At 36.5% G+C, this 15897-nt stretch overlaps 1 protein-coding gene and 1 long non-coding RNA gene across 5 annotated transcripts in view; one reads left to right on the top strand and one right to left on the bottom strand.

Annotated features, from left to right (window-relative positions):
• The window catches only part of ABCA12 (ATP binding cassette subfamily A member 12), a 207085-nt gene that overhangs the window by 101146 nt on the left and 90042 nt on the right, over positions 1-15897 (top strand). For 3 of the 4 annotated variants that reach the window (NR_103740.2, NM_173076.3, XM_011510951.3), the window contains 4 exons: positions 416-528; positions 5585-5660; positions 10543-10661; positions 11702-11808. Coding sequence is in view for 3 of the 4 variants with exons in the window: in NM_173076.3 (NP_775099.2) it covers positions 416-528; positions 5585-5660; positions 10543-10661; positions 11702-11808 (415 nt within the window). In the remaining variant the exon portion in view is untranslated. Of the gene's footprint in view, positions 1-415; positions 529-5394; positions 5661-10542; positions 10662-11701; positions 11809-15897 lie in introns of those variants that run through there. The other variant, NM_015657.4, reaches the window with a different exon arrangement.
• Positions 13060-15653, bottom strand: LOC124906117 (uncharacterized). Its single transcript, XR_007088073.1, has 2 exons — positions 14758-15653; positions 13060-14589 (listed from the first exon to the last, which is right to left on the bottom strand). It is a non-coding gene; the product is annotated as an uncharacterized LOC124906117 (long non-coding RNA).

Here is a 15897-nt window from a genome sequence, read left to right as displayed (position 1 = left end):
CCTGAAACTAGATCCTTTATTTGGGTTTGGTTTTTAATGAAAATACTTTCTAATATTTAATTTTTCTTTTTAGCTAAAAAAAGATGTATTCTTTAATTGAAAGTTGCTTTTCCTAACTACTTATTTCTAAGTCTTAGAAAAAAATTGATGGGAACCTTGCTCCATTACTTTAAGGCTGGTGATTCCTGATGTTTTAGAAACCTAGAAACATAAACTGCTCTGTCTGGTTAAGAATATTTTGTTGAGATTTTGTGCATGAACAGACAAACAAGTAATTAAATTACAAAAAGTAGCATCTTGTCTTTTATATTATAAGAATAATTTATACTGTAGCCATTTTCTCCTTGAATAATCTTTTGTTTCTGTCTGCAAACCTTGAAACAGAATCTGGTTTAATTGCTTTTTGACTCCTTAGTGTGCTGCTGGTTGTGCAGAAGGTTTATCCACGTTTTGCAACTAACGAAGGTTTCAGAACCCTCCAGAAGTCTGTTAAACATCTGCTGTACACTCTGGACTCCCCAGCTCAAGGTATTATATTTCCATCTTACTGTGTTAAATTCAGTGTCACAAAGCCCATTGGAAATATAAAGCAGAGTGCAATGAAAGTAATCATGTAGAGATGATATTATTCTTAGGTGGGGACATATGCTATGAATAAATCTGGATCTCGAGTTAATCAAAGTGTGGAGAAAGGGAGAAATGGCCAAGAAGAGGGAACTGTGGCTTTCTAGGGTTTTTAGTTAGGTGAAAATGATCTCTGTTAGCTTGTAAAACTATGTTTATACTTGGTATAGAAAAAAAAAATCAGGGACTATGCCTCAACAAATCGATTTCTACCTTATTATTTGAAACAAATGCCTAAAGTGAATTGCAGTATTTTAAAATTCATTTTCAAATTTTGATTTTCCAGTAAGACAAGGTATAACATGTTGGTAGTGAGTCACAAAATGTCCCTTTGGCATATCTAGAATGGTACTGTCTACACTCACATGGAGACATACAGCTACATACACACAGACACATACAGACAAAGGTTTGGAGATGTAAGGAATAAATCCCTACTTGCCAAGTTTGGTTAACAATTTATCTCTGGTGAATAAATTTAGAATTATGCTTTCTCAGCTGAGTTTGTCAGCTTTTACATATTTCAACTTTTACCTTTAGATTACAAAATAAGCATCCTGAGATCATCAGGTCAAAATCTGATTGTTCATTACATAGTATTGAAATATCAATTTTCATATAAAAAGAAAGCATGCCTGTGAAGGCTTTGAAGAATTCTCACTGGAGGGTCCAACAATACTCTTGGATGCCATTTTCTGTTAGTCTAGAGCATTTTTTATATCTACAGTTTCAGAATTGATGGTTAGCTTGCAGGATTGACTGTTATTAAATTTGATGGTCTTGACGTCCATTAGAAAAACAGGATTACTCTTAAAAAAAAAGTTTAGGCTAGAAAACCAGACAATGTGCTAACAAACATAATTATTTCCTCTGTTTTCTTTTCATATTTGCATTTTAAAGGCTTAAGAACTTAATGGTTCTCCTTATTACCCTTTCCTTTTTATCTTCAGACTCATCCTTTATAATTAATATAAAGTAAAGTAATAAAGTTACATTTTTAAAAATTTTAAGTACAAAGCTCACCTGTGCTTCAAAAGCTGGAGAAGTAAGCAGGATTTCTTATTAAGCAGGGAGCAGAACCCATTTCCTGGTGAAAAATGTAATTCAGTTTTCAATATTTAACCGTGACCATGTCTTATGTCTATGACTGTGCTAATCATTTTGGCAAGTCTTTTTTTTTTTTTTTTTTTTTGAGATGGAGTCTCGCTCTATTGCCTAGGCTGGAGTGCAGTGGCGCGATCTCGGCTCACCGTAACCTCCGCTTCCCAGGTTCAAGCAATTCTCTGCCTCAGCCTCCCGAGTAGCTGGGATTACAGGCGCCTACCACGCCCGGCTACTTTTTTGTATTTTTAGTAGAGATGGGGTTTCACCATCTTGAACAGGCTGGTCTTGAACTCCTGACCTCGTGATCCACCCACCTCAGCCTCCCAAAGTGCTGGGATTACAGGCATGAGCCACCACGTCTGGCTTTTGGCAAGTCTTAAAACACGTCATTGGATGGTCAAGAAGACAAGGACATACACCAAGGAAATGTATTTTTATTCATAAAATTTGATACACTTACCTTTTGTTTCTTTTTAAATTTCCTGCACTGTGAGTTCATCAAGCCAAGAATATCAATGCAGATGTATTAATGTCAATTCCTAAAAGTTACTAACTTCAAAACCCTACCTGTTTGAGCAGAAATTTTGTAGACTTTGAAAACCCTCCTAAGTATTTCTAGGAAACTTTCAGGGAACTTAAACTTGTCATTGAAGGCAGAACTAGTGACTACAGTTCAACAGCACTGGGGTCTCTGGTCCAAGTACAGATACCTGCCCCGTAACCCAGGCCACCTCATTCTTAGTCTTCACAGTGTTCAGCAGTATTTTTGAAAATGAACATCCTTTCTCCCTTGGTTTTTTACTCTGTTATGCTGGAGTGGGGTGGTATCTCATAGCAGAGTTGCTTGGATTCTCTCTAATATAATGGTTAAGATAGGTTTGTAGGCTTCATACCACTCTTTCAAGTAAAGAACACAATAGGTAATATTTATTGTATCAATGCTCAGTACTTTAGTATCTGAAATTCATTTTATCATCTAAATAACTCTGTGAGATACAGTTATTATCCCATTTTATAGACAAAGAAACAGAAGCTTAAGGAGGCTGGGTGCTTGGCCTGTGTTACTCATCCAGTAAGTGGCCAAACTGAGATTAGAACTTGGATCTGTGTATCTCCAAATCTAGGCCCCAGGAGCTCTTTTATGAACAACCTCACTTAAACATTTACCTTCTGGGACATACTTGCTTCTGAGGTATCTCACTGGGACATGCAAGTACCTGCTTAACCTCAGAAGAGCCCACACTTTTAGTCACTGATGGAGCTTGGCTCCCCATCCACACTTATTCTGTGGGAAGCCATATGCTACATTTTTTCCACTGCCTTCCCCCATTCCTCTCCACACTCTGATTTCTACCCACTTTCCTCACACCATGTTTATCTCTGATCCACCCTGACGTATGAGCACACTTCAAGATTTCTTCAGGAGCCTCCTTAGCAACCGTGAAAATAGAGAGCTGCTAATAAACACCTGGGAAGAAAGTTGCCTCCTAACTTCCTATCTCAAGATACCTAATTCTCAGCTCGGCTCCAGCTAGGATCCTTGCTACACAGTTAATACACTCCATAGTAGGTCCATTTATAAATACTGAGTTTTGGGAGCAGAGATTATGTTTGTGACTCACTGGAATTTGCTCTTTTGCAAAATAGTACATTATATAAAATTACATTTTTAGGATGTAATTTAGGATAGAAATCCTTACTGATAAAAAGAGGTTATCTATGCACCATATTTCTGTGTCTGTGAATACAATTTTTTTAGCTGTGTCTATCCCAGTACATATATTTATTTTTTTATTTTTATTTTTATTTTTTGAGACGGAGTCTCACTCCGTCGCCCAGGTTGGAGTGCAGTGGCATGATCTCGGCTCACTGCAAGCTCCACCTCCCGGGTTCACGCCATTCTCCTGCTTCAGCCTCCCAAGTACCTGGGACTACAGGCACCTGCTACCACGCCCGGCTAATTTTTTATATTTTTAGTAGAGACGGGGTGTCACCGTGTTAGCCAGGATGATCTCGATCTCCTGACCTCGTGATGTGCCCACCTCGACCTCCCAAAATGCTGGGATTACAGGCATGAGCCACTGTGCCCGGCCTGTGAATACAATTTTAAGTATGCCTAATCTTACAAATAAAAAAGAAGTAAAATCTCAGTTTTTAAGGGTCTGTAACATTTTCTATTTCATTAAGGACTGTTTAGTATAGTATTTCTCTCAATATACTTTATAGTCCTTAGTGACCAAAGGGAAGAGTCTTTATTTAACTTCAGGGTCAAGTCTGTCATTGATAATATAAAGTTAATTTTCTATTAGTTACTTATTTTAATGGCTTGACGAAAAAGAGAAACTCTATAACCACATAGTATTACAAATACCAATTAGCTTGCTGAGCATCACATAGGAGTTCAAAGTGAGCAAAATTTGATCTTAGAAAAAGAGTTTTATATACCTTTACATTGCAAAGGCATAAATCTCAACAGGTTTTTGAATCTATAGTTATTCTATATATAGATGCCAATACATAATAGGTATTACTATTGTTAATTAGGTTTGTTTATTCTGGGCATCCCATTCATTCTTGGCCCTTTAACTCACTGATGCATTACTGTTATTAGAGCAATAATATTCAGCTGCATCGTGAACAGAGCACAGAAAAACTCTACTCTGCTGAACAGAAAAACCTGAGACAGCCACTCTGCCAGATAGCAGGGGCTGTACAAACGTTACTTAAACATGACTGATACAGGTGACAGACAAGGAGATTTTTAATTCTGGGATAGTCTTTTTACACACATACTAATTTAAATAAAGTTAATAATCAGGACCAGCAAAAAAATGGGTGATTGCATAGTTTTGTGCTAGTACCTTTTTAGAAGGCTTTAGGTTGCACTAACTAGAGACAATACAAGAACTATTGAAGCTGGTAATAAAATATCCCATTGAAAATGATTAGGCCAATGTTAAAAATGACAGCATTGAGACATACTGGATTATTTATAAGGAATGAGTAGAGTCTGAAGAGAAGGGAAATAAGTGATATCATTTCCCTAAAGGAGCTGAATTAAAGTATTGGATTTATGATGTTTTTATTTATGCAGGGGCCATTTAAAGCATTTTCATTTTCAATTTTTATGTGAATGCTGTTGCACACTTACTCTTTTATGATACAACCTTATGCAGCAGGCTGAATTAGGGACCTATTTAACTTCTGGGGGTAACTCATGGTGTTGAATTAGATCTTCGTATGTGGTCTCCATTAGACCAAACTTAGTGACTGCCTTCCACACTATGCACCCTCATATTATTTGAGAACTCTCAGAGCAGTTCTGTTAACATCAGTCAATTTGCATTCACAGCTGCATTCAATTGAGATTAGTGGCTGCTTTTTGAAAGATAGAAAATATAGATTAGTGATGGCAGATGTTTCCTGAGGCTACATTCTAGACAACTGAAGGCAAAAAAAAAAAAAAAATCCAGTGACCCATAAGACTAAAATTGGCTTCATTTGATTAACAAATCACGTGGTAGTCAATCTTCATTATAGTACTTAGCAGTCATCTGCATATGCAGGTCCTGGGATAAAATAATGTAGTGGCTTGATGCACAGACAAAGAACTTGTTAGAAATGCATATGCTTGACCATCGGGATTATTTTGATCAGTAGGCATCTATTTCCTATAAATATCACAAATATTTCCAACAAAAGAGCATAGATGTCTTTTATACAATTCTTTTGAGAATGATTCTGCAGATTTCTGCATTTTCTCCTCATTAATTTGACCTGGGATGGTTTTCACTGAGGAAAAAAATCTTTAAGCAAACATGTTAAATGTTTACCTATATAAAAATTATTACTTCAGGTGACTCCGATAATATAACGCATGTGTGGAATGAGGATGATGGACAGACCTTATCTCCAAGCAGTCTGGCTGCACAGTAAGTCTTTGTTTATTTCTAAATAGGTAGATAACTTGGCTGAATAAACAATCAAAACAATTTCTAAACATAATTCGCTTATCAGTGTATATAAGCATGGAATAGAAAAATCAACTATTGACTGAGCAGAGGAAAGGGCATAGTCCAAGTGTAGTAAAGTTGAAACTTATTTTTTGATATTATTTAATGATATTTAAGCATTGCACAAGAAAATCTCTTTTTCAGTTCTGAGCTTGCATAACTAGATCTAATGTGTCATGTCTGGATTGGTTACCTTATGCCTATGAGGATGATCTAGCTGGAGGGCTGTCAACACTTTTCTTTCACCACAAACAGTGTGTAAGTATCTGTCTTGCTCTGTGCAGGCTGCTATAGCAAAATACCATAATCTGACCAGCTTATAAACAAGCCTCCTAATACCATCATCTTGGGGGTTAGGAGTTCAACATACGAATTTCGGGAGAACATACTCATTCATACCATAGCAGCCTCTAATTTTTTGTTACTATTTTTTGGGTTTCCAGAGAATAAAAATATTTTTTATGCTTAAACAAGATAATGCAAAATTTGTTTGCTTTCAGTGGTATTCAGTTAGGCAAAACTGTTTGTAGGTAATTTAATTTGGGACTTTTATTGGCATATATAAAGTCCCGGGAATAGGCAGTGGAAATAACAGCAGCAACCATGCTGTCTAAAGACCATTAATGTAAGCAGATCCTGAAGTAACTGTGATAATTATGGTAAGAAATGCAAACAGTTGCTTATGGTAGTTAATTGACGCAAATTTCTGTAGTTCAAGGCAAATTTAGAGACGAGATGGCCTGCCTGTTAGGTAAAGATTGCTTTAGCCTGTAAATTATACTATTGAAATTCTTTTATTTTAGTCCCAAAGGATACATCTGTGTGCTAACGGAAATCTATACAAATAAAAAAACAAACAGGATTACTTAGGTTTAACCAATTTTTTTCTTTTTCTAAAATAGAACGTACATAGTTGTTTACAAACTTTCTATTATTTAACGAGAAGTTCTCCACCTCTGAGTAGATTCTGGCCAAAATCCTTGCATAAACAACTACCTCCTCTTTCTGCTGCCATCTCTCTCATCCTCTAAGGTGGCTGACCCAGGTGCTTCTCCCAGAGCAACCAAGCCCTTAGGCAATTTCACCCTAGCCAGGCTGCCATGTTTCATATAGTCATGTCTTTTTTTTTTTTTTTTGAGATGGAGTCTGGCTCTGTCGCCCAGGCTGGAGTGCAGTGGCGCCATCTCGGCTCACTGCAAGCTCCGCCTCCCGGCTTCACGCCATTCTCCTGCCTCAGCCTCCCAAGTAGCTGGGACTACAGGCGCTTGCCACCACGCCTGGCTAATTTTTTTTTTTTTTTTGTATTGTTAGTAGAGACGGGGTTTCACCATGTTAGCCGGGATGGTCTCGGTCTCCTGACCTCGTGATTCGCCCGCCTCGGCCTCTCAAAGTGCTAGGATCACAGGCGTGAGCCACTGCGCCCGGCCAAATAGTCATGTCTTTTAAACACATTCCCTATATAGCCATCAAAAATAATAATAGCAAAATACCTTTAAACTGAGATAACTGCATGCGTATTGCTGAAGCCATGTATTTTTATGAGAGCCTTGAGGCATCCATAGCATTGATAATGTCAACGCCACAGACCTGCAAATTCCACAGCAAATGTAGGTAGTTGCTGACAGCTAGTTGACAGTTTATTAGGAAGAATTCCATACTTCTAAGTTGGCTCTTGTTGTGATTGATGAAATTAAGGGATTTCTTATCTTCAGACTTCCTTTCCATTCCAGCTTTAAAATAATCACAGAGTGGCAATACTGGTATAAGGTAAAAAGTTATTTTGGCTCAGAATTTTCTAAAGAAAGATGCTCAAAAATACTTTTTCCTCATAGCTCTACTTTCTCCTAATTATTTTTGTTCTAAAGTCATTATTTTTATCATTTTGTGTTTGTACTTATGAACATGAATGTGCACATCCAGACACTTACCTTTTATGGTAAGCACTCTTGGGAAGTAGGTAGGATTTTGTATAAAGGATTACTCCAGTGTTGTAAGGGAATAATTGGGTATTTATGCCAAAACTGTGGCACACAGATATAAGATCTTATTTTGGAGTATACTAAGTCTATTCTCAGAAATTTTTGTAATCAAATGTTCTTCATGAAACTAAGAGAATGCCTTATCAAGGTCAATTCTAGCCCAACTGTCCTCTATTTTAAGCTTGACAATACACCATGAAACTCTCTTGTTCCAGTCCATCTAGTAGATAAGGCCAGTATTTTGCTGTTGAGCAGTGCACCAAGTGGAAATAGCTCTATGTTGTAACAATGATGACAGACAGAAAGACAAACACAAAAGAAGGAAGGGCAATATTGGGAAGTGTGGGGAAAGGTGAGGAGAGGAAGGGAGAACCACCTTACTGAAGCAGGAGAACGACCCGACGTGTGCTTATCCGGTGATGCCTCATTGGGCACTTCTCAGATAAATGGCCAGTGTCTCTGCAGCTTCCTGCATCTCTTTTCCTTATGTATTTATCCTTTCCACAGATACTAACTCAAGTGTATGATGTACGAAATACAAATGCTAGATATTCTGTGATGGGGATGGGGTCGGGGTGAACAGGGAATGGGATACAAAACTAAATGGATCATTCTTTCAAGTTGCTCAGAGGAGAAATGTTTATATTGAAACCTCTACTTATCACTATAGCCAAATAAAATAGATGGATTATTCTACCCTCCTCTTCCCAAAATAGATGCAGTAAATTTATAATTATTCTCATAGTTTCATTTGTCTCTTCTTTGACGTCTTGGATTCTCAAATCCCATCTTCCAGCTTATCTTTAGAATATTCTTTCTGACACTGCTTCCCACTACCCTCAACATTCTGAAACTATCATTTCAAAATACCTGCTCAGGGTTTTTTGAGCAAGTGCTGTGAGTATATTGGTTATTATTATACCTTGGCTTGATTTGATTTGACTTGACTCACTGATGTCATAGGTAGACTACAGTCCATGAAACTTGACTGTAGGCATGACTTCATATTACATGCATAACCTATATAATAGGGTTAGTTTTGTCACCTGTCACACTCCTGTTGCATTTTTAACAGTAATAATGTGATTTAGAAATTTCCCTAATAGATAGTTTATTTTATTTAGGACAGAAAACTTACTCTAAGAATACACTCTCCTGGTCCTTCATTTGTGAATTGATCAATGGCATTAACTATCTATAAGGAGGCTTTGATAAATAATGAAGCTCACTGTCTAAAATCTCTAAGGTCTGAGTCCACCAAATATAGTATTACCAAGAGTCTCTAGTCAAGGAAATGCCTATGCACAAGCATGAGCGCTTGTAAAATGGATACTTTTTAAAAAAATATAAAGACTATGAATAGTATTTAAATGAGTCAGCCCTCTGACCACTTTGCTGTGCTCTGACTGCCAAGTTAGAGACTTTTCTTGCCATGTATTTCTTTTTCTTTTAAAGTTCCTCAAGGATCCAGTGTTGTTAACCCACATTTAAACACCCTGAGTCTTCTTTAATATTGATGAAAATATTTTCCTGCATTTACTAGCTATGCCAAGGTTAATCGTTCCCACTCGCATTTTAATAAAATCTAAGTTAAACATCCAGTAGGACTAGTTAATTTGTGTATTGTACAGTTTGATTCAAAACAGATGATCCCCAAATCAGCCATTGACATTTATTCTATCTTTACATAAAATTCAATAGTAGACACTAAGGAAAGAAGTTACAAAATAAATAGAGATGTAGCCTCACAGTTGAAGCGACAGAGCACACATAATACGCACATACTCATTCACATAGCCTTACTCACTCATGTAGCCTGAAAAATCTTAGGCCCTTTCCTTACATGCCAATCACTTTGAAAGGAAACCAGAAAGTGGTGAATTTGGAAACACTAAATTGGTTGATTAGAGAAAAAAGGAACTTATATTGGTCAATGGGATCCCATTAATTCAAAATTAAATGAATTCAAATCTAGTTATTCAATATTATAGGTGGAAAGGACCTAGCAGATCATCTAGCCCCCTAGCTTTCAATTGACAAGAGAAGAATCGGAGAGTCAGAAGGGGGTTGCCAGATTTAGAAAATGAAAAGTAAAAAAAAATTGCAGGACTCGTGGGATGTACTTATACACAAAAAAGATTATTCATTGTTTATCTAGGATTCAACTTTAACTGGGAGTCCAGTATTTTACCTGGCAATCCTCACCCAGTGACCTTTTTCTTTCATGTAAGTGTGCCTAGAAATTGCCTTAAGATGACCTATGATGGCATATTAAAACAATTAAATATAAAGATAGTACACATAGAAAAGGCAAGTGCTCAGAAGATCTAGAGTAGTGCTGCCCTTGTACAGTTAAACTGGGTGAGGGAAGACATCCAACTGCATAGTATTTCTTTCTTTTTTTTCTTTTTTTTTGAGATGGAGTCTTGCTCTGTCGCCCAGGCTGGAGTGCAGTGGCGCGATCTCGACTCACTGCAAGCTCCGCCTCCCGGGTTCACACCATTCTCTTGCCTCAGCCTCCAGAGTAGCTGGGACTACAGGCGCCCGCCACCACGCCCGGCTAATTTTTTTTTATTTTTAATGGAGACGAGGTTTACACTGTGTTAGCCAAGATGGTCTCGATCTCGTGACCTCGTGATCCGCTCGTCTCGGCCTCCCGAAGTGCTAGGATTACAGGCGTGAGCCACCGCGCCCGGCCAACTGCATAGTATTTCAATGTCCAAGTCAACCAATGCCAAACAAGGGACCAAAATGATCTCAACAAAACGGCTTTGCTTTACTTTTATATGTCTTAATTTCTATATTCTTTTCTAATTCTGCAGGCTCCTAATTCTGGAAAACTTTGAAGATGCCCTCTTAAATATATCAGCAAATAGTCCTTATATTCCTTACTTGGCATGTGTGAGAAATGTGACTGACAGTTTGGCCAGAGGTTCACCAGGTAATACTGTTCTTAACAGTCAAAATGCTGCTCATGGTTTCTACCTCTGTTCTAAAGTAGTGAGTTTTTGAGGCATTTGCTTACACAGGAAAGAAAATTTGTAAAATCTTAGTTTCCATATGCATCAGTTTCAGTCTGGTGATTTGATATACAAAGGGAATGTCTTGTCATAATATCATATTATTCTGTTGCTGCTGCTAGCACTAGCTGGCCACCTGGACAAACTTTAATACATAATGGCCATATAATGGATAATATGATAATGGCCACTGGGACAAATTTTCCAAGTGTCCAGAGTCATTAGAGGTTCATATGACCCTTCATGACATTTCTATGCTCTTAATAATCTTAGCTGTTAAAAAATGTTAAGGAATGATAATATAGAGTTCTAAAAGCGGGTGTAAATTACATAAACAAAGGCATTTTTGTGGCAGACTACTTTTATTTTCTACCCTTACACACTTTATTTGCAATTTTCTGCCTACATGGGCAACCATAAAGATTATATTTAATCAAATGTTTCTTTTTTTTGAGAGAAAAGACCTACTTTCTCACATTTTCTAGGACACACACATTCTTTTTTCCTACACCAAAAATAGTTTTCTGAGAGTTAATGGCAAGCAAATAGCACAACAAATATTTAAGTCCAGACTTTGTTTACAAGGTATGAATTAATCAAGGTTGGAAAGGCATATTTATATCACAGTGATTCTATAACCTATTCTTTCCAAGATACTTCAACTTAATAGTATATCCAAAAGTCAGGAATGAAAGCATAGTCAGTTCACAAAGAGCCAAAACTATGGAGCACCTTTGCTAGAAATATTTTTATCTCTAAGCTGATATTTTTAAAATAATGAACTCTGTTGTCCCCATGGTTCAAATAAAGGTTAAATTTTCATTCATCTTATGTTTGTATTGAGGTAGGCTATTATCTTAGGAAAAATTTAGTAATAAGTCAGGATAGAGGTGTCTTTCAAACTGGTTTCCTAAATGACCTTGCAATTCACATAAAGTAACTCTTCTCCCTTCCTTTACAGAAAATCTAAGACTCCTGCAGTCCACAATACGATTTAAAAAATCTTTTCTTCGCAATGGTTCCTATGAAGATTACTTTCCTCCAGTTCCTGAAGTCCTAAAATCAAAAGTAAGCCATGAAAGTAAAAAAAAAACAAAAAACAAAAAAAAAAACAAAAAGACAAAACAAACAAAAAAAAAACCTTAACACTTCTCATAATATTTGGCAAGATACACTTTTAAGTTTTAAATCTGATCTTTGTAAATAATGATGCTATTTTAACTCTAGATTTATAATGGCCCTACTTACGACTCTAGAAAAATGGTGACAAAAGAGTTTATGGCTGGATGCCGTGGCTCATGCCTGTAATTCCAGCTACTCAGGAGGCCGAGGTGGGAAGAATCACTTAAGACCAGGAGTTTGAGGCTGCAGTCAGCTGTTGTCACACTGTGCTCCAGCCTAAGTGACAGTGTGAGACCCTGTCTTTAAAAAGAAAGTTTTTAAAGAGTTTGATGTTATATAATGGTATTTTTTTTTAATCAGTGGAGATCTCGGCATGAAATGACCCAAAAGAGCCTAATTAGAGTATGCACATTTATAAGGGAATGGCTAACAATAGTTATCATATTAAACTTCATAATTTGAAAGAGATTTGAAAAAGGATTCGTAATAATAATTTCTAATTTGAGATGTCTTGTTTTAAAATTTGTAAAAGTAGATTTTGAAAGCTGATGTTTTAGATTTCACAGCATACAAAAATCTCAAAATGTGGTTCACCCTACTTTTATTGTTGTCATCAGAAGCTAAAATGAATAATTTATATTAAAATTTATGATACTAGAGAATGTGGGAAAAGGCAACCAAAAAATATATAACTGTATGTGGGAATAACTTTATGCTTATTTGTCTATTATTCTTTATCTCATGCATATAGTATACAGGTTATCATGAAATTTAGTTTATTTTTTAAATAACCCTATTAAAATTTGAAAGCTGTATTCCTAGAAAGAATAGCTATTTAATTGGATTTACATAGTCAGGAATAAAGTGAAATTAGAACTGGTTTATTCAGGGCAAGCAAGATGACTTGTATAGTGAACATGGTATAATTAAGCAGGCATGCAAAACATTATGTCCATGTATATTACAAATAAATGTACTACTTACCATTACCTACATTTTAGCCCTAGTCTTCTACATGCATCAAAATTTCTAATATACTTAATTTAGCATTATCTTAATTTGTTTGTGCAAATGAGAAGGAAATTGTGCATTCATCTGGAAAATTCCTACTCATCCCTCAAGGACAAGTTTAAATACCACTTCTTCGATAATATTAGAGTATCACCTTTCTTGCTGTTTTTCAGCCAGGATAATGACTTTTTCTTCTGTGCTCCTATAATATTTATCCGTTCATTTTTTTATCAATTATATGTACTCCCATAATACTAATCTATTTATTTGTAAGACATAGCCTCTTACCCCAAAGTGCTTATTGTCAATCCATTGGAGGAGATGGAAAAGCAGACCAACAATTGTAATACAGTGAGATAAGTGTTGTGATAGGTGGATAGAGGCTTCTGTGCATGGAGGCGGGATATCTAACATGGATTGTAAGGGATAGAGGTGGAGAGAAGAAATTCTGTAGAGAAAATAATGCTTTCTCTGAGTTTTGAAGGCTGCATAGAATTAGGTTAGTTGTGCATTCTAGACATAGAGTCCTGAGTTTAAGAAGATAGAGGCGTGAACTTGAAAGACAGGTATAGGGGTATCTGCAGTCATGTGTTCAGCTGGAACAGAAGATGCCCATGTGATAGGCAGAAAACAGGGCTGCAGGGTGAGGCTGAGCCTAGATCCTGACTTCCTTGTCAAGGAATTTGAATTTGATCATGAAAGTTGTAAATTTGAAGAAGGTGAAATTTGCATTTTAGAAAGAGACATCTCTAATGAGATGACATCTCCAGTGACAGTGAGATATCTGGCCTTTGGAACTTATTACTTGGCATTATAATTTGTTGCATATGTCAGGTCTGTTTTCCTCACTAGAGTTTAAGCTGATGAAATTATGCTTTCATCACCCCTAAAGCCCCACATAGTAGGAGCTTAAGGCTTGATTCATGAATGTATGAAAAAGTGAGGGTGTTAAAGTAGAGCACTGAGAATGTAATCATGCTCCCTGGGCAATTACAGTTCTTGACTTAGAAAGTCACCAGGAAGCACATAATATACACTAGGGAAATGGAAACACCACAGTCTCAACCATTTATACTAATAGGATGGGACTGGGGCTAAAAATAATTTAAAACATCATCCCCAATTTGAATATAATGCTCTCCTTCAGGGTTACATTATGGAAAAAGTTCTAGAAGCCACAGAAGTGGAAATAAACTACACTCGTTTCTTTTGAGTAGAAAATCTATCATCATTTATAACAAGCATGGCTGTTATTTGAAATTGACGGGACCCATTCAGTCCTAGACCACAAGCTCCATGAGGAATATTGCCAGGTCTGTTCCTTTACCATTGCATCCCCAGCACCTGGCATAGGGTATGACACATGGGAAACACTCAGTACCTATCACTGAAAGAATGAAGACAAACTCCTAGAGTTTCACAGTTACTGATGCTCTTACTCCCCTGCTTTGTTCACCCTGATAATTAGTATCATGCTTGTGACCATCAGTTAGGGCACACCCAATCTAACGCTTTATTCATGATATTCCTAAGATAGTGGTGAACCCTGGCATTCATTGGTGACTTTTCCCAGCTTTTTCTCCTTGCCGGAACATTCTGCTCTTCTTGAACTTTTGTGTTTTCTCCTCCCTTCATTGTTTTATCTTTTTTCTTTCCAGTTGCTTTGATGGGAAGAATAACTTCCTGATTAGGGAGCTATGCATAAAGTGGGTGTTCCTGTATTGGGCAGAAATACAAATAACACAATATTTTTATTGTAAAACCTGTAAAATTTTAAATAGACTCATTTTTCCCTCTATTTACCCACCAAGAGCTCAGGAATATTGCTGCTTTATCATTTTATGCCCATTGCTATTGTGAGGTCAGTACCATCATGTCACTTACGATTCTGATTCAGATACATTTGAAAAGCATCAGGCAGTGGAGAATTCAGTCACAGCTGGAAATGGCATTAGTCATCCGTTGTTCTATTTTAAACCTGAACTTTTACTCGTGATAAAAGAGAGAAGGGCTCTACATGAAGCTTTGGCAAATCTGCAATCTGAAGTTGACACATACTTTTGAAGAAAGAATTCTAATTCACTGAATTTATGTTGATGATTAATGATCTGTGAAGCTTCTAGAACTTTAATGCCTGTATTGTTCTCAGAATAAAGCAGTAAGTAATAACAAAGACAAAATGACCATAATGTTGCTCCTTGGTGGATATGCTTCTCAATGCCTTCCACATTATTGGCCCTGAATTATACTTTTATTTCAGAGAACCAAGCCTATTAGCCACAGTGTGGCTAGATTTCCAATGTCCTCTTCTATAACTTTTATCTCACTAAGCCAAGACTATACTATATGGAACTTTGCTGGTTTCCCACATATGTACACCAAACTTATAATTAAAAAACATATTTCAGTATCTACTGGGTAAAAGTCATTCAAATGTACAACACCCTCAAAGCTCAATTAAAACAAATATATTAGCCCAACAGAATTTATCTTTTTATTTAATAAATTACCACAAAAAACTCCCTGGAGAATGTAATATAGAGGCTTCACTCCATTTATTACAGGTTTAATCATATCTAGTAGCTGGAAAATCAAAAGAAAGACTAGAGTGGCAAATGCAGTTATAGGTGGTACAGTGATTGGGTCTATTCCAGAATGGAAAATCTCTCATAGCAATAACACTAGTAAGTAGAATTTTTGTACATATAAACCTATTTTTGAATAGTTCAAACCCAGAGGTCAACTATAATATTAAGTACAATGGAAAATAGACCAATGATATTTACTATCTAAGATGACCAACATTTAATTGCTATAACTACGTGTAGTTATAAACCTCTCATTAAAGACATATCATTGTGCCTTTCTTATTTGATAATATAGAAATAAATATTCCCAAACATTTGCCGGTACCATAAAATACTTCATTTTGGTCAAACTGTAACTTCTGATTAGAAACTGAGCTGCAATGAATGACACATAGGATGTCATGTTTCTTAGGATGTTGTTCCAATTTATTTCCCT

This window comes from Homo sapiens, chromosome 2 (genome assembly GCF_000001405.40).
Source record: "Homo sapiens chromosome 2, GRCh38.p14 Primary Assembly".
In the NCBI taxonomy this organism is placed as follows: domain Eukaryota; kingdom Metazoa; phylum Chordata; class Mammalia; order Primates; family Hominidae; genus Homo; species Homo sapiens.
The sequence above is the reverse complement of the archived record's forward strand: the minus strand, read 5'-3'. Positions and strand labels throughout refer to the sequence as shown.